Source organism: Homo sapiens, chromosome 5, assembly GCF_000001405.40.
Source record: "Homo sapiens chromosome 5, GRCh38.p14 Primary Assembly".
NCBI lineage: Eukaryota > Metazoa > Chordata > Mammalia > Primates > Hominidae > Homo > Homo sapiens.
In genome coordinates this window covers 67343759-67367348 of record NC_000005.10, presented here as the reverse complement: position 1 = coordinate 67367348, position 23590 = coordinate 67343759, and the positions used below count along the sequence as shown (strand labels likewise).

Here is a 23590-nt window from a genome sequence, read left to right as displayed (position 1 = left end):
ACGATTATGGTAAACTTTTATCGGTCTGTCAAATCTTCGTGTGATTTTTTTCGTGTGTATATATTTTTTTCTCTCTTCCAAAATGCTGAGAGATTCAGTTTGGTGACTTGAAAGCCTGAATAAATTCTTGGACCAAGTCAGTCAAATCAATTGCCAAATCCAAATGTTGGCTGGAATACCAGAACACTTTTATGCTTGTAGAAAATGTCCTGGTTTTCTTGGTCAGGGCTGCTTTGAGTGTTGGCTTGGTTCCTCTCATAGCACCTGGAGAAAGGTCCATACTTCTTAGAAAACAAAAGAAAATCTTCTTCAGAATTATCTATTTCTGGAAAAGTTAAGAGTTTCATTTATATTCTGAAAATGGGTGATTGCTTTGCCTGTTGTGAACCAGTTGTACTAAGGGTAGAAAGCATAAAGCTGAAAAATTTGTCCATCCAAGCCTTCCTTGAGCATCTGTGCTCAGTGATGAGGGTGCACAGATGAAATGGATGTATTTTCACTTCTCTAAGTGCTAAAATCTACTGGAAGATACAGACATATAAACAGATAATTATAGTACCATATAATAAGTGCTGTAAAGATATGTGAATACAGTGATATGGAAACCTAAAGGAGGGGAATATTTTTATATGTATCTGTGCATTGCTATTCTTCGCCATTACTGGCACTCTTTCTAGAAGCCTCATGAGAAGGAGACAAAAACAAAGAAGTTCTGAATCTGCATCTGGAAGTATCACACAGAGGGGAGGGCTTCGCTGTATTGGGGTTGAATAAGGTGCTGATAAGCCAAGTATTATTACCTGCGTGTGTAGAGCTTTGACTATTTCCAGCACGTCGCTGAGGACGGAGGCTTCTCAGTGGCGGTGCCAAGGAAACTGTTGGAGGTTGCCAGTCATTTTAGAGAAATGCCATGGAACGCAGCATGCCAGATGGCTACTGATGAAAGTGATGAAGGTTCACGCTTAGAAATGAAGTCCAATTCCATATTTGGTCCTTCTTTCCTTCCTTCTCTTTTGAAGGCATAAGACAGCACAAACTCAGCCTTATTCTACTCTTGCCCTACAAAATTGCCATCATCCTTTTCTCTTTTATAAAGTACTGGAGAGATACAGTCAAGTTACATCTGCTTCATTCCCAAAGGCTCAAAGGCTCCCCCGGCCCATCTCTCGCTGCACCAGGCCCTTTCTCTCTTGACCCTTCTTACTCCTCTTCTCACTCCTCCTTTGCCTGCCAGGAATCACTGTCAACAGAACCCACGGAGGGTCGGCTGCCTGCCGGGGACTAGTTTCTGTAAGGTAAGCTTTTCCCATCTCTACATCTCATGGAAGAAGAAAAAAGAAACGCTCCGCTGGAAATGTTTTATGATGACCCTCATTTGTAGAAGAAGTTCACCTTTCCTCTTTTGAGGATAACCATAACCTCCAGCCACGTTTCCTTTCTCTAACCAGTGCATGATATTAGGGTTAAATGCTTCTTCCTCACTCCCATTGTCCTGGTGGAGGGGACCCCACTGGGGTTACAATGCTGGTCTGGCTCCCCGCCCCCCACCCTGCCTTTTCGCACTCTCCTGGGGGAAGTGGAGTGGTAATGAGGTAATGGGGAGAATAAACACAGCCTGCTTCTCCCAGCACCTTGCTTCTTTCACACCAGGGGCCACGCCTCCACCGCTCCTCCTGTCAGGGCTTGGGTGGGTGAGTGTGCTTAGTCTTGGCTCAGCATCCCTAGGTCATCTAGTCACTAAGGTGACATTTCGATTCTCTGTTATTAGGTCCTCTCAAAGAACCCCCTGCAGGTAAGAAGTAGTCATATGAACTCCAAAAGTTAGCCTTCACTCTCTCTAAGCAGATTCATGTCAGACAAAACCTTATATCCATTTCTGCTTTTTGGCTTTGAGGTACAGGAGGCCTTACGAGGAGAAAAGGAAATGGCAGCACATTTCTCAGTCCGTCCTGAGGACTGTAAGAAGGGCTTAGATGAAACATAACAAGTTAAAAGAATTCCACATTTTGGTGGCTTTGATTCTTGTCCTTCAGAATGGGTTAAACACACACACACACACACACACACACACATTCTGACATTTGGAGGTTCTGAGCCTTGGGTCTCTCCCTTCCTCCCACCTAGCATGTCCTCATAACTATATCTCGAAAAGCTATTCTTAAAGCTTTCCAAGAAGTGTTCTCTCATCTACAGAGTAATGTCTCCTTCCTCTAGTTTTCCACTGTACTTGCTCTAACGGCATTTGAATGAATGAGTGAGTGAATAAATGAATGAATGTGTAATGACGAAAGAAATGGAATATCCTTTGCTTGCCCATCTACAGAAGAGAGATGGAGCCTTCCCTGTTCCTCTTCAGGGTTACTTTTCCTCTGCCACTTTAAGCTCCATCGAAATGCCTCAGGGGCTGCAAGAGTCCAGAGCTCTCCATAAAATAATCTAATAAAAACTGTGAAGAACAAGGCAGCTCAGAAAATGCAACTTCATTTTCATCACCCTGGACTTTGCTTTGCATTGCCTTGGACTCTTGGGTCAGCATAAGGTCTGTAACCTTTAGGGCCTGGAGCCTTTTTGTTTAGGCCAGGTAGCTCAGCTGCCCAGCCTGAGACCAGGTCTCCACTGGCACAGGATGGTGAGGCAGAGGGCAGTGTTCCAGACGATTCAGAAGAGCAGAAACTAAACTTGGCTTTTAAAAAAAGCCCGAGGAAAGCAATTTTGATGCCTGGATAATCACCCCAGTTGCTTAAAAAGCATGCCAGTGGAAACCTGTCCCAGGGGTTCCAAGCTTAGGAAATACAGTGATTGAAGCTCCATCCAGAAGGAGGGTAGCAAGGCAATTAAGCAGAGGAACAAGTGGGACCTTTGCCTGGAGCAACTTCTGTTCCATCAATTGAGGGAATTTACTTGCCCTCAAAGGAAGGTTATTTTAGCACCTGGCATCAGAATTCTCAATATATGAGCTTTGCAGTCTCCTTTGATCTGAAATTACTAGTTCCTGGATTATCAGGCAGTAACCAGGGAAGGGAACATGTTCTCTAGCTGCACTTGGCTCATTGGCTGTGATTAGCTCAGAGAGCTGCAGCCCCCACGTGGTTAACCTACTTCAAGTATAGGTTTACTCATCACAGCTTCCTTCTAAAAACTCAATTGGACAATATTTTGTCACCTTTAAGGTCAGACTATATCTATGCCATAGGTTACCTTCAGCTTCTCCCATCTTTCATCCCCCAGCCCTACAGTGATGTCCTCAGTGATATGGTGCCACCCAAAGAGGCCCAAGGTATTGTTTTGTTGTGTTTTGTTTTAGAAGGAGAAGGACTTTGGGTTTCTAGTTTCAAATCTCAGGGGTGTGACTCAAGTAATTTTACTTCTCAGTTTCCTCCTCTAAAAAACTAAAATTGCAAAACATAATCTCATACATTTGTTGAGGACCAAGTGAAACATTTTATGTCAAGGACCAGAACAGTGACTGGCATATCATAAATGCTCAATAGATAATTGCTCCCTTCCTCACTCTTTCCCCCAAGTAGGCCCTGGAGAGCTCTTCTGGACCAGAGGCTATGGTGGTGCACTCGTGATAGCCGATTGTTAAATCTTCAGGAATTGTGTGATCCAGTTGATCAGTTTGATATTGGCTGTGGTGGAAGCATTCACATCACAGAAATCAGCAAACACAGTAAGTCAGAGCTTCCATCCACTCACCCAGAGATTTGGTTCATCACCATAGCACCACGTAGTTAGATCACCTAGAACCTTTCTAGGTTTGTATTTCTAACAATTTGCATTTCTAAAAATGCAAATTAACCAGTCACACCCCAGACCTTCTGCATGGAAGAAATCTGTGTTTTAACAAAGCTTCTTAGTAAGTGTGCCTGATATGTTCAATGACTAGCAGGGAGATGAGTGTGGGAGGAGTGAAGTGAGCCAGACGAAGAATAGGAAGAGATATGGTCAAAGAAGAGATAGGGTGGTGGTAGGAGCAGGGAGTATCGTTGGCCATTGTAAGAATTTTCACTTATGTTCCAAGTGATAAGGAACCCACTGGAGGGTTTTGAGCAGAACGTAATGTCTTTTAAATCTCATTTAAAGGGATCACTCTGGTTGCTGTGTAAGGGTGATGAGAGACGACAGTGGCTCAGACTCAGATGATACAGAAATACATGGTGAAAAGTGGTTGGATTCCAGATATATTCTAGAGATAGAACTAATATAATGTGTTGATGGTTTAGATGTGGACAGTAATAAAAAGAGAGAAGTAAAGGATAATTCAAAATTTATTTAGTCTGAGAAGCTGGACAGATTTTTACTAAGATACAGAAAAGAAATAGGCTGATGGAAGGTGGAAGGTTGGTGATTAGGAAGTCAGTCCATTTTGAACATATTGGGTTTAGAAAGTCTATTAGAAATCAAGAGGAAATGTCAAGGAGGCCATTAGATATGAGCCTGGAGTTTGGAGGAGAAGTTGGGTTGAAGATTTACCTTTGGAAGTCACCAGCTTCCAGATGGTATTTGGTGACCTGTGATAAGATAGCTCAGTAAAAGAATCAGATAGAGAGAAGTGGATCCTAGCCCTGGAAAGCATGGAGATCTGGAAGATATGGACAAACTAGCAAAGGACACAGAGAAGGAGCAATCAGTGAGTATTAGTTCAATACATATTATGGTAGCAATCAGAGAGATGAAATAATATACTGCAAGTGGCTGTGTTACTTTAGTTGTGTGTCATTTCCTAGGGCCTCCTGTATAACTTAACTATGAGTGTGTAGTGTAGAGTTCACTCACAGCCTTCTGAATGAACGTACTGGATTCCGAAAGCAGTGTGGAGTTACATGTGAAGGCTGGCCCACTGAGCCAGTCTGTTCTCCCTTTACCCACTAAGATCCTGCAGGACTCTCTTCTCCCTAAGTAATAGAAGAGTCATTACCCCAAAGCTAATCGCAGCCATCAGCTGGCTCAGCAGATGAGGCTGACACTGTGCCTGTGTTTGTGAATGTTTTGGTTTATCAAAAAGAGCATGCAATTATCTTTAAAATATAATTCTCTGTCTTTAACATAAGCCAGAACTGTCAAACCTCCTTAGGCCCAGAGTGCTTTTACAAGGACAGTTTATTCAATTACCTTTTTAAGCTTTTAAAAGTCTGTGACTGACTCATTTGAGCAAGTGAGGAAAAAAGACAAAACATCAGTATCTCGCTGGAAAAATACTGTGGTTATTGGCACTGAAACAAAAATAACGCTCTGATCAAGGCATTGTGTTACTCAAATCAAGTGTATGCCTCACCTTTTTCATAAGAAATCTTCCTGCATTGGGAACTTCATGAGTCAGAATATTTGTGACCTACAGTGTGGCCTTGGACAAGTTCATCTCACTGTCATTTTCTTTTCAGGTAAAATGGGAACAATAATACCGACACAATAACACGTGTGTGGGAAGCACCCAACGCAGTGATATTCAATAACTCCTTTTCCATTGCCCTTAAAATATACACGGCCACAAGTGGCTTACATGTCTGTTCCACACTGAAAGAACTGCTGCCACTGCTGTCTGTCCTATCCCATCCCAACCATCCAGTCCCTCTCCAATCTGTAAGGCATGTACTTGGGATCTATTTTACCAAAGCAGGGCGTTCTGACTAAACTGTTTATTTGAAGAGAATATTAGGACATAGTCTCATCAAAACTACTATGAACAAAATGAAAAATGACTTTAAAAAATTGGCTTATGCCTGTAATCCTAGCACTTTGGGAGGCCGAGGTGGGCAGATTGCCTGAGCTCAGGAGTTCAAGACCAGCCCGGGCAACATGGTGAAACCCTGTGTCTACTAAAAACACAAAAAATTAGCAGGGCATGGTAGTACGTGCCTGTAGTCCCAGCTACTCAGGAGGCTGAGGCACATGAATTGCTTGAACCTGGGAGGCAGAGGTTGCAGTGAGTCAAGATTGTGCCACTGCACTCCAGCCTGGGCGACAGAGCGAGACTCTGTCTCAAAAAAAAAAAAAAAAAAAAAAAAAATTACAAAGTGATGTGCAAGGCAGGAAGGCAGACATTGCTGACCTTCTACTTTATCCATGATCCTCACCTCAACCCTAAACCCCTTTCTCAAGAGAAGGAGTGAGGATGGCTATTTCCCACATTCCTTGAGAGTTTTGCTAAACTGAAAATTTAATGCTCACTTTCATAACCTAGTTGAAACATATGGGTAAAGGTTCCTTTCAAAGTAACATGCACCCATCTTTGTGGTTGACAAGGAAGCTGGTGACAACCAAGTAAGGTATTCTCAGATGCCAAGCCATGCCGAGCAAAGCGGCCTTGCTCAAGGTGGAAAGCCAATGAAGCAACTTGCTAGGGGATGCACATCTGAGAAGGAACCAGCCGAGCCTCCCATCCATAGGATAAATTAGTATGAGGATCATTTTAAATGTAATTTCCCAAAGTAGTTCATTCTCTCATGTATCACACTTTTCCAAGGGAGACCTTTCATCTTACTTCACTCTGGCTCCTTCTAGAAATATTCTTAGAGATGAAAAATATCATAGCAAGCAGCAAGCAATAGGGCAATTGTGGTCACTGTCCTCTGGGAGAAGGAAACTCAGATTTTACCAGCTCAGAAGAAAATCCAAAGGAGTTGTTTTCTAACCACTCCTTCCTTCTTGAAGCTCTCCCCTCTCAGCCTCCTGGAGTTGCTCCTGCTTTTATGATTAATTATTTTCTGTTTCCTCAGTGAGTTCCCCTGCCTCTGCCTACCTCTTCTTTCCTCATGCTACACATACTCACTCTCACTTTCTCCACCCCAGGCAGAAAGAAGCACCAGGAGATCCGAAAGTGAATCATAAATGTGCTGGGATTTCAGAAGATGTTACTGGATGCAGGAATGGAGAGGACCTGGCTTGGAAATTTCAAGTAAAGGGGTACCAGAGTTGAATAGGGGATCCATGCCTGAACAATCAGTTAGAGAAAATTAAGAGCCAATTTTTTTCTGTTGCCGTGGTTTCAGCTCCCATTTCTATGCTGAGGAATCCTGAAATCTCTATCTCTAGCACGGTATTTCTCATGAGCTTCTCAACTCTTTATCTTAATGGCCATCTTCCCCTGAACAGTCCACAGAAAAGTGAAACTGAAAATGTCTAAAATCATATGATTCCTTTCCTGCCTTCAAACCTACTTCTCATTCTGTTTCCTACACTTTTGTGGAGCCCCCATCTATCTAGTTATCCACATTAGAAACCTATTCCCAACATACCCCACTCATTTCTCAAATTCAATCGCAATCCTATAAATTTTGCATTCCAGATATTTTATGAATTTATTATACTTCTCCATCTCTAAGTCAAAGCAGCAAAATGTTCAATAAGCAGCTCCAGCATGGCCCCAGGCTAATGGCAGTAATTAAATCCAGAATGCATAGGACTCCATGGTGGCATTCCATAAGGAGAATTCTATAAACATATCACCTTTCCGGCCACACATTTTTTTCTTCCAGAAATTAATGTTTACCTTGTAGGAAAGTGCTGGGCATTTTAATTTTTTCCTGAAACTTTACATTCTTATCACCCTCCTAGCTTTCTTTTAACAGGTAATTAACTCGTAAGAATCTTAAGATTCATATATTGGCCAGACCAATGCCATCACTGTCTATTTGCTATAGAGAAGGGGTCCACTGAGAGTCAGAGTAGTCCTGCAGCCTCATGACTGTGACAAGTGGTACCCACAGAGGTTTCCAATGCCAGTGGCAGGCGTGTGACCTTGGGCCCTCTGTGCCTTGGGAGGACACTATCACAGAAGAGATATGCATATCAATTTGGGAAAAGCTGGAAAAAGTTATCAGTCATTTCCTGATTCTATTAAGAATCTGGGAGTCTAGTTTCTACTTGAGTTCCCTAAAGAAATAAAAATATGCACCATTTGGGGATAAGCAGGGAATGGGAGAAAGGGTACAGCATATTACATCCCCATCCCAATCAACAGAAAGAAAATTAGGAAAGGACTGTCAATTCTCATGAAGTTGACATTATTTCATGAAACTGAATTACTCTATAAATATTTAATAATCTACCCTGCCTAAGCAATGTGGGCACATAGAGCTGCAAATAACATTGCCATGATTGTTGTCTTCAGCAAGCTTACAGTACAGCAAGAGACGAAGTCATGGAAACAAGAACTTACAAAGCAATGTCATTAGAATTGTATGTAATGTGTGTGAAGGGAGGTGCAGACATGTGAAGTGGACAGCCAACTAGATTTAGGGGAGAGTGAAAAAAGATATTGCTGCAGGAAATTATATCCAAGCTGAGACCAGAAGTTGAACAAAAGTTGGTCAAGTTGCAGAAAGAGAGTATGCACAGAGGAGATGGGTTCTGGGAGAAAGCAACAGCATGGGCAAAGGCCCAGGAATGGGAGATGGTCGGGCCCATTTAGGACTACAAAAGAAGTTTATCCTAGCTTGTGTAGAACTGATACACAAAGTGATGAGATATAAGACCAGAAAAACAATGTTTGAACTTTGAAGGCTCTTATTGGCTGCATGGAGAAATTAAGACTTTGTCATGTCTTGTGTCTTAGAAATGTCACTCATAGTGAAAAGAATGGATTAAAAGGGGAGAAGGCTAGAGGAAGGGTTATTGATTAGGAGGCTTATTCCAGTAATTTAGATGAGGAATTATGTTGGCTTTTGTTAAGGAAATAACAATGAGGATGTAAATAAGTGGTTATGTTAAAAAATATTTAGGAATTCGACTCAATAAGAATTGGTGATTACCAATCTACAGTTGCAAAGACATGGAACAAACTTAAGTGCCCACTGACCAATGAGTGGATAAAAGAAAACATGGTATATATATACCATGGAACTACTCAGCCATAAAAAGGAATGAAATGTCCTTTTCAGCAACTTAAATGGAGCTGGAGGCCATTATTCTAAGTGAAGTAACTCAGGAATGGAAAACAGAATACCATATGTTCTTACTTATAAGTGGGAGCTAAACTATGAGTAAGCAAAGGCATACAGAGTGATATAATGAACTTTGGAGACTCAGAAGGGGAAGGATGGGAAGGAGTAAAGGAAAAAACATCTACATGTTGGGTATAATATACACTATTCAGGTGACAGGTGCACTAAAATCTCAGAATTCACCACTATATAATTCATCCACATAACCAAAAACCACCTGTACCCCAAAAGCTATTGAAATCTAAAAATAAATAAATAAAAATTTTAAAAATAGAATGGTGATAACAGGAAGACTGAGGAGACAGCAAAACTAAGAAGGACCCCATGTGTCTGACATTAGCAGTTTGTTGGATGGGAATAGCATTCACTGTGATAGGAAACTAGAGAGAAGAAGCAGGTTTGGGGAACGGGATCAAAGGAGGATAATGAGTTGAGTTCCTGATGTTTTCAGTTCTAGATTTTTGCAGTATATACAAGTGGGAATATGCATAGACAGTTGTGTATGGAGGTTAGAAGAGAGATCTGAACAAAGGATAAACATCAGAGAGTCAACAGCACATAATAGTGACAATGGGAGTAGATGACATCTACCATGGAGAAGATGAGAGTAGGAGTTGAGACTTAGAACAGGAACTGGATTTTTTTTTTTACTTTTTTTTAATTTTTAAGTTTCAGGATACATGTGTAGGATGTACAGGTTTGTTACATAGGTAAATGTGTGTCATGGTGGTTTGCTGCACCTATCAACCCATCACCTAGGTATTAAGCTCCACATGCCTTAGCTATTTATCCTGATGCTCTCCCTCCTACCGCCCCCCAACCCCCGACAGGCCCCAGTTTATGTGGTTCACCGCCGTGTCCATGTGTTCTCATTGTTCAGCTCCCACTTATAAGTGAGCCATTATCCTCAGCAAACTCACACAGGAACAGGAACTGGATCTTGCAGAGGAGACAGAAAATGCTCACAGAGGGAAGGAGGGACACTGCGGTGGTCTGGAGAGCGGAAGCTTTTCAGAAGGAGTAGTTTACAACAATATGATGCAGTTATCAAGAATGGATTCTGTATGTGCAGATAATGTGAAGATGTTCAAAATACATTGCATGAAAAGAGCAGGTTGAAGAACAATATGTGTGGTATGATCTCATTGTATATTTTTAAATACTGAATCTGAATGAATATTTCTGGAGAAATACTGAAGAGATGGCCAAAAATAGGTCTTTAAGAAATAAGACTTAAGAGTCACAGAGAAAAAGGGGCTGCAAATTACCACTTAATATACCTCCAATATTGGTAGAATATTTTACCTTGAGTGTATCTTGCATTTGTATAGTTTTTAAGTTAATTAAAAAGAAAGAGAATTGTTGTCAGTATCAGTACTGCAGATAAAGTAAAATCAAAATGAAAAATATTAATTAGCTTTGCAACAAGGAGGTCATTAGTGAATTAATAGAAATATTTTCAGTGGCCGGACATGGTGGTTCATGCCTGTGATCTCAGCACTTTGGTAAGCAGAGGCAGGTGGATTGCTTGAGCTCAAGAATTCAAGACCAGCCTGGGCAACATGGGGAAACCCAGTCCCTAGAAAAAACTACAAAAATTAGCTGAGTGTGGTGGCATGCGCCTGTAGTCCCAGCTACATGGGGGACTGCGGCAGGAGGATGGCTTGAGCCTGGGAGGCAGAGGTTGCATCTGGTGAACAAAGATTGCACCACTGCACTCCAACCTGAGCAACAGAGCCAGACCTTGTGTCAAAAAAAAAAAAGAAAGAAAGAAAGAAAGAAATCTTCAGCGAAGTGATAAGGCTGGATTTGTGGATGGTAGCAATGACATAGGAAAAAAAAAAAGGGGAAAATCTGTGTAAATAGCTCATTCTAGAAGATTGGATATGAAGAGAAGGCAAGAGATAGGGCAATTACCAGAGGGGGCATGTGGTTGAGAAAGAGAATATTTTATTATGGAGAGTTTCTGGCACATTGACATCTTGGTGGAATTTGCCCTAGTAGGCAGAGAACCTCCTGTAGAAGCAGAAAGGTGGACAAGGACTCAAGATTGACATCTTGGAGCAGTAGGAAAAGATTGGACTAAGAAAAAAGTGGACAAAAATTAACCTTGGATAGGAATAGAGACACCTTTCTCACTGCAAAATAAGGTGAAAAGGGAGGAATAAAGGCAATGCAGGTAAGCCTACAGTGTCAGTAGCCACAGTATCTCAGGCTTTTGAAATGTCCCAGATGCCATGAAAATAAATCAAATTTGGTGTTGCAAGCCTTTAGCAGAATAATTTAGAGTTTGAATATTGATGCCTATAATAAAAGCAGATTTTCTCTTTAACATCTTTATCATGCAAAGCAAGCATGCATGATAGTAAAAGATTATATGTGCAACTAGTGTTTTGAAGGGGTTATCATTTATATCTGGATAATTTATATGAATTACAAATTGCTTTTCCCTTATTTATTACAATCAAGAAACCATGCAATATGGTAACACTAATTTATCTTACTCATAATATGTGAGTTTCTTAAGGGCATGGTTTATGTCCTATTTGTCTTCATTTACTTATACTCAGCACAGGGCTCAGCATGCAGTCACTGTTCAATCAATGTTTAATAAATAAATGAATGTAATCCTGAAAATAAAGTTGGTGCTTTATTCTGATATATATTACCACCCAAAATTTTTTCTTTAAAGCCTAAAAAGAAGTAATTGCAAGGGTGTTTTCAGGAAAAGGGAGAACAGAAGAGGTTACAAAAGCTCATAACAGTGAAGACTCAAGGGTGTATATTTATTCCATATTGCTCACCCCAACAGTAGCCATGACTTCAAAATAATAGCGCAAGTTAATGCATTTTCACACCTCAAAAAAAAAGGTTATGCTCTTCACGTCAGCCTGCTGTGCACAATTATAGGAGAGAAACCACGGGGACTAACCGGTTGCTAAAAAGCGTCCAGAACATCAAAGGATTTTTACCAATGCATTCATTCACCAGAGCTGCCCAGTGCAAATTTAATAAGAACCTTTAGTTTAGAAATTATGCATCCTGAATGGCAGACTCTTCTAAATGACTAGATTGCTCCAAGGGATTGAAGAGATGTAATCTAAATAACTGGCTCCATTATTGTTTTCTCCTTGTCAGCTGCAATTACAAGTCACTACCATCCGAGGGCTATTTACCAGTCTGTATAAAAGGGTTTAAATATTCAGCTAACCAATTGGAAATACATCCATGTACTATGACTTGCTCTCCCCACTGGGACTCATACTGACAGCTTAGCAAAAAGAGCCACGAAATTAAAACACATCGCACCTACTTAGCAACATTCCTAGGTGGACCCAGCTCTGACAAGATTCAGGCAGACTGACCAGAAAGCCGTTATTGATCTGCACTCTGATTTTACTCAATAGGAAGGAGACCTTTCAGATATATTAAATTTATGTTTTTAAAGTAAATTCTGGTCTTCTACACAGAGCACTCAGCATAAATTAAAGATGCAGCCCGACTACATCCACACACTAAGACTGGGGCTGTTTTGCTGAGGCATCCTTCTGAAATACTTTGTATTTCTTTCTCTTCTCCTTCCCACTGCATAAGCTAGTATTTTGACAAGCTAACCTCCTATTTCGTGTCTCCTCACATCATTCTCCACTTCTTCTCTTTAATCATAGAGCCCCATGAGTTTTACCTGAGTGCTTGGCCACCACCACTTCTCCCAAACTCTCTTGTGCCTAAACATAACAAAAAGGATGCCAGTGGAAGTGCTAAATGCAATTTCCGGGACCTACCAGGTTGCCCTTTACCTCTACATCTTCCCTCTTCCTTTCTTCAGAAGAGAATTCAGATGTAGAGGTCATGGAGTGTCAACATTGACCAAGAGCATGAGAGCAACCCCGCTACGGAATGGCAGGACAAGCTACAAGGAGCCTGGGTTCCTAGACCCCCACGCAGAGCCAACTGCACCACTCCTCTGATCACCTACCAGCTCATACTGTTATATGAGAGAGAAATCCACTTTGATCTAGTTTGAGCCACTGTTATTTATTCTACTTTGAAGCAGCCAAACCCAAATCCTAACTAATATGAAGAGAGAGAAGAGAATTGAGGAACTGAGAAACAAGTCAGCAGGAAAATAAGGTAGGGCAATAAAGGGGGAAAGCACCAGGAAGGACAGCAAGGCTTAGGAGGGCATGAGTTATACTTTATTTGTTTGCTTGTTTTAAAGTATTCAGAAACACAAAGGAAGAGGAGGAAATCAAAGCTAGAGAAGAAAGGAAAAGCCACGCCGCACTCTTTTATCCTGCCTCCTGGGAGGTTGTGGGAGGCAGGAAAACAGAAGGGGAAGGAAAGGAATCCCCAGCTGTTGTCAGGGCCCATAGAAAGTTCACACTCAGCCTTCTGCTGGGAACCAAAGATGTTATTGACTCAAACGCAAATGGGGTCCTTGAGATTAACTACGTGTCCAAAGAGGCTCTGCATGTGCAGGAACCTCAGTCACCCTAGAACAGAGCAGCTCTCCTCACCGTAAGGGGAGGGTGCGACGGGTCAGGCACTACAGTTGTCCATGTTCCTGTTTTACTCACAAGTATGATAATCATGCAATGCAAATGTGTGCAAATTTCCAGTTCTTTTCTAAGAGGTCACATGCTTTGAAGCATTCATTTCTGGAGTCCGCTGAACAGGACATTCTCTGTTACTTACATAAAAACAAATACAGCTCCTCTGAATTAAGAAACTCTTTAAAAATCATATGCTAATTATTCTTCCATGCAATACCTTACCACAGCCAGCACGTCTGTGAGTAAACATCATTTACTGCCTTTCAGGACTTGGCAAAGTCCCAGTCCCCAAGGAGTCCCACACACAGCGTTGTTTAAGCTAGCTGTCAGACCTCAACAGCTAAGCCTCACTTTGCTGGTACAATGGTTGTTGATGTGGCAATTTATTGACAACACACAGATCAATTGGAGAAATGAATTAGTTGTGGTCAATGAATAATGGTAGATGAGAAAAAAAATGCCAACAGCAGACAAGTTGAATCAAGATACATGAAAAGCCAGTAACTTTGGAAGAATTTGAATTAGAGTGTGCAATCCAGGTTTCCCAACACTTAAGTTGTCACAAGTCATTTCTGCCTTCAATACCCAGTAGTCTGAGAACCCATTCTGCAGAACTTCAAGAAATCAAGTGCAGTCTTTTGAAAAGTTTATCCCTTCAATCTCTCTGGAGATACTTACACATTACACAAATCAGTCCTGGCTGTCACTTGCCACCTCAATGAGCCATCTTGTTCTCAGTGACTCTTCCCTTCCAGTGGGTCAATTCTTGCCAACCCACAACAGCTGTCCAGACTGTTATCTTTTTCCCTGAATTACTTCTTCCTAAGCATTAGCAATCTCAAAAATGACTGAGCCCAGGATATGATGTCTAACAATAGATAATTCAGGGGATACCATACCCAAGGGAATAACCATGTAGAATAAAAACCTTAAACAGAACATTTCCCACCAAAGGATCCACAAACCAGGCCATTCCATAGAAGGTGTGATCAGCTTATGCCTCAGTCTTCTCAGGCCACCCAACTGTTGTGGGTGATGGAAGGGAGATCTTACTTTACTCTGGTTGAACTTCAGGGAGCCCAGGACCCCTGAGCATCTCCGTTAGAACACAGCTTCCTCTTTGCCCTTGGTCACTGGTTGGCCTTCTGGTCATCGTCTCTCAGAGATGCCATTCTGACTTCAAGAAGGGTGACTTCCATATTATCAAGCACAGCTTCCTGACTTCCCATGGTCCAGAATCTGATTTTGGCTTTTTCTCACATGCACTGATTTACAGACTTGATTAGTCAACTTAAACCTCCAGCTAAACAGAAACTGCCAGCAGCATACAAAGAGCAGCTATCTTCCCTGGCCCCTGCTTTATTCTGATGGAGGTTTCAGAAGTATGGGGGTTCAATAAGGCCTGGATTAAAACCACTGGAGAGCACTGAGAATATTACAGTGTCCCTAGATCATGTGGGATTCAAAATTAAAACAGTTTTAAAGAATAAGTATAAAGTAATCCAACTAAATTATCGTTTTTATCATGATGATGATTTTGGTGTTTTCTCAAACAAATTTTTAATTCAAATACTTTCTCAAAATGCTGTCATTTTTTTTGACATCTTTGTTTGCTGGTGCCCCAAGCTCACACAGCTTGAGGGGAACCCCAGCTCTGGGTCCAGTGTCAGAGCCCCCAGTTATACATGAGTAGATTAGTCCAAGAGCCTTGCTAACATTATAGCTGCTTCTGCTTAGAAATCCACCGACCTTCCCATAGTTAAAGAACAATGTCTGCTCCCCAATGTCTTCCTACTAGAGTATTTCTGAGAACAATGGGATTTTTGCACTCAGCAAACAAGGTTGAGCTGCCCTCTAGATTATTTAGAACCAAAAGTAGCCTCTTCCTTTTTTTGTCCTCCATTTGCCCTTGAGCTTAAACCCCGAAGCTCACAGGAAACTTCATATGGCTCATTTATTCAACAAATGTTTGTTGAGCATCTATAGTGCATTGAATAGTGTTTACCTCAAACCTCAGAATATGACCTGATTGGATAGAGGGTCTTTACAAATGTAATTATTAAGTTAAGATGAAGTCATACTGGAGTAGGGTAGATTCTAAATCCAATGACTGATGTCATTATAAGAAAAGGAGATGACACACAGAGATACATACAGGGAATAAGCCACATGATGGTGGAGGCAGAGATTGGAGTGATACAGCTACAGGCCAAGGATTTAACCCCATGGATTGGCAGCAACCACCAGAGACTAGAAGGGAGGCCTGGAACAGATTGTGCCTCGGAGTCTCCAGAAGGAACCAACCCTGCCAGCACCTTGATTTTGGACTTCTGGCCTCCTGAACTGCAAGAGAGCAAATCTCTGTTGTTTCCGGCCACCTAGTTTTTAGTAATTTGTTATGGCAGCCACAGAAAACTAATACAGCTCCTAGTATTTTCTAGTCACCATACCAAGCATTAAGTATAGCAACAGCACGAAACGTAAGGTCTCTATTCTCATGTAGCTTCAATTTTCTAGAGGAGAAGACAAACAATAAGTAAGTAACCAAATAAATCAATATGATTACTTCAGATTGTGATCAATTCTATGAAAAAGAAAAACAGAGTTATGTGATAAAGAGTGATCAGGGTAGAATCCAGGGCAATATCAACTTTTAGGATGAGATATTTCTGGGACATTCACACGGAAAGTATTAGATAGCTGGCCTTTCCTCCCTTCTCTTCCTGACCTCAATGCCAGGAGCTCCTTGGCAGCTCTGCTTCTAACATAACACATTATTTTGATCCACAAAAGTTTTTCTTCCTTCACATGTCCTCCAGCTTGAACATGTATCAAAACCGACAAGAATTGTGTTTTTCCCCCATCCAGCTTGTACATAATGGATGTCAGTATATTTCCTCACCATACTCAGAGAGCAGACCCAATTTGACTTAATTACAGCCAGGGCTCTGTAAACAGCCGCTCGTTACTGCCGAGCCCTGCGGTTTATGAAGAGAACACCACAAATGACAGGAAGCTGCAGGGGGAAAAATAGTCCGAGCTGCCTTTGGCATGTTCATTTTTGAATACAGATACTTCCATTCATCGATGAGGACATTTATGAAACCTGGGCTGTCAAGAAGATATTCTAGAAAGGAGCAACAGAGGCCCGTCACGGCCGGAGCGCTGTGCTGAAGAGGCCATCTGTGAGCAGAAGGCTGACACCCAGAATGCAAGGTGCTCCATGGGGAACACAAGCCGCGATACCCATCGAGGCAACCTAAATGAGAATTTCAGGACCATGCTGACCCCTGCTACCTATCCTGATGTTCAGAAATCAGTGCAGACCCAAAAGCAAATTAATTTAGTCAGAATTTCACTTCTTCAGGGAAAAATTTCCACCCACCGGTGCACAGTTTCATACGATGAAGGAAGTCATGCCACCATCTGGCAGACTGAAAACCGCAGAATGATTCGGGCAAAGTGTTGGGAAGGAAAGCAGGTCCCTCCCTCCATTGTCCTCAGCAGACACGGGAGCCCTGAGCTGGACTCCAGACACACAAAATAAGGAGCACAACACAGGGGGTACCCAGAGAGTCACTGGAAAGAACTGTGTTTTAAAATATTGCCCCAGAAATGTGAAGGTAGGGCCCTTGTTAAAATGCAGATTTGAGTTCACTAGATCTGGGACAAGGCCTAGAATTCTGCGTCTCAAGCTCCCAGTGATACCAGCGCCACAGGTTCTCCAGAACCTAGAGAACTGGCCATGGTGTGAGGAGGGGCTGTGGGGAAGGAGTCCAGCTGGGAGGCTTTCACCTAGGAGTCCAGGTGACAAGGATGCTACATTCTGCAGCGGTGTGGAATAGGATCAGCTTTGTTACATGTGAGATGTTGGTTATCATCAACAAGAATCAATATTATGAATTTAATTGCATATAGCAAATCTAGGTGTTGAAATAAGCCTGTTTCAAAAATAAAGTATTTTTTTAAGATGATAAATCAGTATATCTCAAATAGACATGCATTTCATAATCATCTAGGGGGGAGTTAGCAATGAGAATGCCTGGGTCCCAGCCCAAAGCAATTAAATCAGTTCTCTTGGTCTAGTGTGTGTAAGGGGCTGGGCAGAAGGAAAGAGAAGGAGCATGCAGCCCTGAAGAAAGGAAAGAGAAAAATAAAAAATAAATAAAAGAAAAAGAGGAACTGGATGGAGAGAAGAATTAAATTCACAACTTCTTTCTTAAGTAAATTTTTTTGAGTATATTTGAGGTTTATAACATGATGTTGTGGGATACATACAGATAATAGTTACTATAGTGACACAAATTAACTTATCTGACATCTCACATTGTTACTTTTTCATGACAAGAGCAGCTAAAATTTACTTAACAAAAATTCCTAATACAGTACAGTTTTAGTAACTATAGTCTTCACCTTGCACGTTAGTGCAATGTGCACATGGATAAAGGACCTATGTGTTGTCAATTAATGATGATAAGCACCTTTTCATATACCTGTTGGCCATTTTTATGTCTTCTTTGGAGAAATGTTTATTCAGATCCTTTGCTCATTTAAAAAAGTTCTGCTATTGAGTTGTAAGGGTTCTTTATACATTTTAGATATTAATCCCTTATCAGATATGTGGCTTGCAAGTATATTATCCTAGTCCATAGGTTGCCTTTTCATTTTGTTGATTGTTTCCTTTGTTGTATAGAAGTTTTTTAGTTTCAGGTAGTTACATCCATTTGTTTTTGCTTTTGTAGCTTGAGAGTTTGGTATAATATCAAAAAAACTCATGGCTAAGGTCAATGTCATAGAGCATTTCCCCTATGTTCTCATCTAGGAGTTTTATAGTTTCAAGTATTACATATAGGTTCTTTACCCATTTTGAGTTGCTTTTTGTGCATGTTGTAAGATAAGGATCCAATTTCATTCTTTTACATGTAGGAAAATCCAGTTTTCCCAGCACCATTTATTGAAAAGAAAATTCTTTCCCCACTGTGTCCTTTTGGTGCCCTTGTCCAAAATGAGTTGACTGTGTATGTTTGGATTTATTTCTGAACTATTATATTCTCTTGATCTATGTTATGTTTATATGCCCATGCCATACTCTTCTGATTACTGTACTTTTATAATATAATTTTAAATCAGGAAGGAAGTGTGATGCCTCCAACTTTTTTATCCGTATTACTTTGGCTACTCAAGGTTTTTTGTGATTGCATGTACATTTTAAGATTTCTTTTCTATTTCTGTGAAGATTGCCATTGGAATTTTGATAAGGGTTGTGGTAAATTTGTATATTACTTTGGATAGTAGGGATATTTTAACAATATTAATTCTTTCAATACATGAACACAGATATCTTTCCATTTATTTGTGACTCTCAATTTTTTCAGCAATGTTTTAGAGTTTTCAGTGCACAAATTATTCACCTATGTGATTAAAATTTTCCTAAGTATTTTTTATGCTATTTTAAATTGGATTATTTTCTTGATTTCTTTTTCAGCTAGGTCACTATTTGTATATAGAAAAGCTACCAATATTTGTATGTTGATTTTGTATCCTGCAAGTTCACTGATTTCACTTATTAGTTTTAATAATTTTTCTGTGTTATCTTCAAGGTTTTCTACATAGAGGATTATGTCATCTGCAAATAATTTCACTTCTTCCTTTCTGATTTGGATACTTTTATTGATTTTTATTGTCTGATTGCTTTTGTACTTCCAGTACCATATTGAATAGAAGTGGCAAGAGTGGGCATTCCTGCTTTGTGCCAGATCTTAGTGGAAAAGCTTTCAGTTGTTCCCTGTTCATTGAAATTTTAACTGTGGGTTTTTTTTAATGGCCTTTATTATGTTGAGGAACTTTCCTTCTATGCCTAAACCATAAAGAAAGGCAAATGCTTTTTTCATGCCAATTGAGATGATCATGTGGTTTTTATCTTTCATTCTGTTAATGTGATGTATCACATTGATTTATTTGCATATGTTAAGCCAGCTTTAATTGCCAGTGATAAATCCCAGTTGGTCATTATGCATAATTGTTTTGATGTGCTATTGAATTCAGTTTGCTAATATTCTACCGAAGATTTCTACATCAATGTTCATCAGAAAAATTCATCTGCAGTTTTATTTTCTCACAGTGTCTTTCTTAGTTTGGCTTAGGTACCAAGGTGATGCTGACTTCATAAAATGTATTTGGAAGTATTCCTTTTAGCTCTATTTTTTCAGAAAAATTTAAGAAGTATTGGTAATTTTTCTCTGAATGTTTGGTAGAATTCAGCCGCAAAGCCATCTGGTCTTATGCTATTCTTTGTTGGAAGGTTTTTAATTACATCTTCAGTATCTTCATTTGCTATTGGTCTGTTTAAGCTTTCTATTTCTTCCTGATTCAATCTTGGTAGGTAATATTTTTCTAGGAATTTATCCATTTCTTCAGGGTTATCCAATTTGTTGGCATGTCATTGTTCAGAATAGTCCCTTAGGATCCTTTTCATTTCTGAGGCATGTGTTGTAATATCTCCACTTTCATTTCTGATTTTATTTGAGACTATTCTCTTTTTTCTTAGTCTATTAGCCTAGCTAGGGGTTTTGTTTTGTTAATTTTGTTTATTTTATCAAGAACCAATTCTTGATTTTATTCATTCTTTCTATGGTATTTCTATCCTCTATTTTATTTATTTCTGTTCTGATCTTTATTATTTCCTTCCTTCTGCTAACTTTGAATTTAGTATGCTATTTTTCTCTTTCCTTGAGGTGTAATCTTAGGCTATTTATTTAGGAATCTTTCTTCTTTTTTAATGTAGGCATTTGTTGCTATAAACTTCCCTCTTCAAACTACTTTTGCTGCATCTCATAGGTTTTGATATGTTCTGTTTTCATTGTCGTTTGTCTCAAGATACTCTTTATTTCCTTTTTGATTTCTTCTTTGACTCATTGGTTGTTCACGAGCATATGGTTTAAGTTCCACTTATTTTTTTAATGTTCCAAGATTCTTCCTGTTATTGATTTCTAGTTTCATATTGTTGTAGTCAGAAGCATTACTAGATATGATTTCAGTCCTCTTGAATTTGCTGAGACTTGTTTTGTGGTCTAATAAATGGTCTATCCTGGAGAGTGTTTCATGTGCACAAGAGAATAATGTATATTCTACTGCTCTTGGATTGAAAGTTTTATATATGTCTGCTAGGTCATTTGGTATAAAGTGCAGTTCAAATCCAATATTTCTTCATTAATTTTCCATCTGGTTGGTCTATCCATTGTTGAAAGTGGGGTTATTGGTGTCCCCTATTATTATTGCATTGCTATCTATTTCTTCCTTCATATTTGGTAATGTTCAATTTATATATTTAGGTGCTCAGATACTGGGTACAAGAAAGTTTACAATTGTTGTTTCTCTTGATCAGTTGACTCATTTATCATTAAATAATGACCTTTTTCTTTTGTAATGATTTTTTGCTTGAATTCTATTTTATCTGATAAAAGTTTAACCACTCCTTCTCTCTTTTGTTTGCCAGTTGCAAAGAATATCTTCTTCCATTTATTCGCTTTCAGCCTATGGGCGTCCTTAAAGCTAAAATGGGTCTCTTATTGGGAACATATAGTTGAATCTTGTTTTTTTATTCATTAAGCCAGTATGTCTTTTGATTAAAAGTTTAATCCATTTACATTCAAGGTTAGTATTGATAGGTAAGAACTTAACTGCTGTCATTTTGTTGTTTTCTGGTTGTTTTGTAGATCCTTTGTTCCCTTCCTTCACGTTTGTCTTCCTTTGTGAATTGGTGATTTTCTATAGTGCTAAGCTTTTATTCCTTCCTCTTTCCCCTTTGTATATCTGCTGTAGTTTTGCTTTTTTTGTTGTTTTTGTTTTTTTTTTTTTGCTTTGTGGTTAACATGGGCCTTATGCAAAACATCTTACAGTTATAATAGACTACTTTTAATGGATAATGACTTAACTTTGGTCACTTACAAATAGTCTAGACTTTTACCCTTCCCTCCATTATTTATAATTTTGTTGTCAGAATTTACAGCTTCTTATATTGTATATTCCTGCACAATTTACTGTAAGTATATTTTTAATTATTCCAACTTTTAACCTTCACATTAGAAGTTTGAAAGGTTTACACACCACCATTACATTAATGGGGTATTCTGAATTTTACTATGTATTTACCTCTACTAGTGAGTTTTACACTTTCATGTTTTCATGATGATATGTTTTCATTGTTTACAGCTGAAGAACTCCCTTAAGCATTTCTCGTAAAGTAGGTCTAGTGGTGATAAATTTCCTCAGCTTTTGCTTTTCTGAAAAACACTTCATTTCACCATCATTTCTGAAGAACAGACTTGCAGTTATACTATTGTTGGCTGCCAGGTTTTTTTTTTTTCTTTGATTACTTTGAATATGTCACGCCATTGTCTCCTGGCCTGCAAGTTTTCTGCTTAGAAATCCACTGATAGTCTTGGGCTGAGCACAGAAGCTCACATCTGTAATCCTAGCACTTTGGGAGGCCAAGGCAGGCAGATCACCTGAGGTTGGGAGTTCAAGACCAGCCCAGCCAACATGGCAAAACCCTGTCTTTACTAAAAATATAAAGATTAGTCAGGTGTGATGGTGCACACCTATAATCCCAGTTACTCTGGAGGCTGAGGCAGGAAAATCGCTTGAACCCGGGAGGCAAAGTTTGCAGTCAACCAAGATAACACCACTGCACTCCAGCCTGGGCAACAGTGAGACTCCATCTCAGAAAACAAAACAAAATAAAACAAACAGAGAGAGAAAGAGAGAGAGAGAGAAAGAGAGAGAGAGAGAGAGAGAAAGAAAGAAAGAAAGATCCACTTATAGTCTAATGAAGATTCCCTTGTATGCCCTTTGACACTTTTCTCTTGATGCTTTTGAAATTCTCTCTGTCTTTGACTTTGACATTTTTATTATGCTGTGCCTTGGTGAGGACTTCTTTGATTGATCCTGTTTTGGAACCTTTGAGTTTCATCAGTCTGGATGTCAGTATCTTTCCTAAGGGTTGGGAAATTCTCAGCATTATTTTATTAATTTTTTGTGTCTTTCTTCATCTCTTCTCCATCTGGAACTCCCTTATGCAAAAATTTGCTCACTTAAGGATGTCCTATAAGTTCTGTAGACTTTCTTCACTTTGTTCCATTATTTTTCTTTTTTCCCCTTCAACTAGGTTATTTCAAAAGACCTATTTTTCAAGCTCAGAGAGTCTTTCTTCTACTTGATCTAGTCTTCTGTTGAAGTTCTTAGTTGTAATTTTTATTTCACTGAGTGCTTCAGCTCCAAGAATGCTATTAATATTTACTTCTTTTTTAAGATATCTATCTCTGTTGAATTTCTCATTCAGATCATGGATTGTTTTCCTAATTTTATTGAATTGTCTATCTGTATTCTTATGTATCTCACCAAGTTTCCTAAAGATTATTTTGAATTCCTTTCCAGGCAACTCTTAATTTTCATTTCTCTGGTGCTAGTTACTGGAGAATTATTGTGTTCCTTTGGTGGCATCATGTTTTCTTGCTTTCTCATGGTTTTTGTGTTCCTGTGCTGATATCTGCACATCTGATGGAACAGTCATCTATTCCAAATTTATAGTGGCTTTCATAGGGAAAGACTCTCTGAATGGGTTTACTCTCTGAAACACAGGTGATGCAGCTCTTCCACCAAGCTAAGGACTGTGACTCTGAGGCACTCCCCAGTAGCTAAGGCACAGGAGGACAAGAATGTAGCTGTAACTCTGATCTTGGGAACAAGGGTGTAGCCCTGGCGTGGCTCCAAGGGAGACGGGGTGTTCAAGATGCTTGGTTTCTGGAGAGTGGCAACTTGGGCACCAGGAGAGGGGGCGCTGTGTAGTGGTGCCTCTGAACCCTGAAGTGATGGGACACAGAAGTAACCCAGGCTCCGCAAGGCCAGGTGCGGTGGCAACAAGGACCCAAGAATGACAGGACACAGCAGTGGCTTGGGCTCCAGGGAAGAGGAAGCAGGGCAACAGTGGCTCCATGCCCCAGAGAGGTATAGCACCTCAGTAATTTGACTCTAGAGGGCTGATCCAGATCCAGCAAGAAGGGGTGCTGTGGCTTTTAGGACCAGAGCATG

General features: G+C 40.0%; 1 long non-coding RNA gene across 1 annotated transcript; it reads left to right on the top strand.

The window, feature by feature from the left end:
• Positions 1-1045: 1045 nt before the first annotated feature.
• LOC124900989 (uncharacterized) lies at positions 1046-11582 on the top strand. Its single transcript, XR_007058799.1, has 2 exons — positions 1046-1295; positions 6793-11582. It is a non-coding gene; the product is annotated as an uncharacterized LOC124900989 (long non-coding RNA).
• The last annotated feature ends 12008 nt before the right edge of the window (positions 11583-23590 follow it).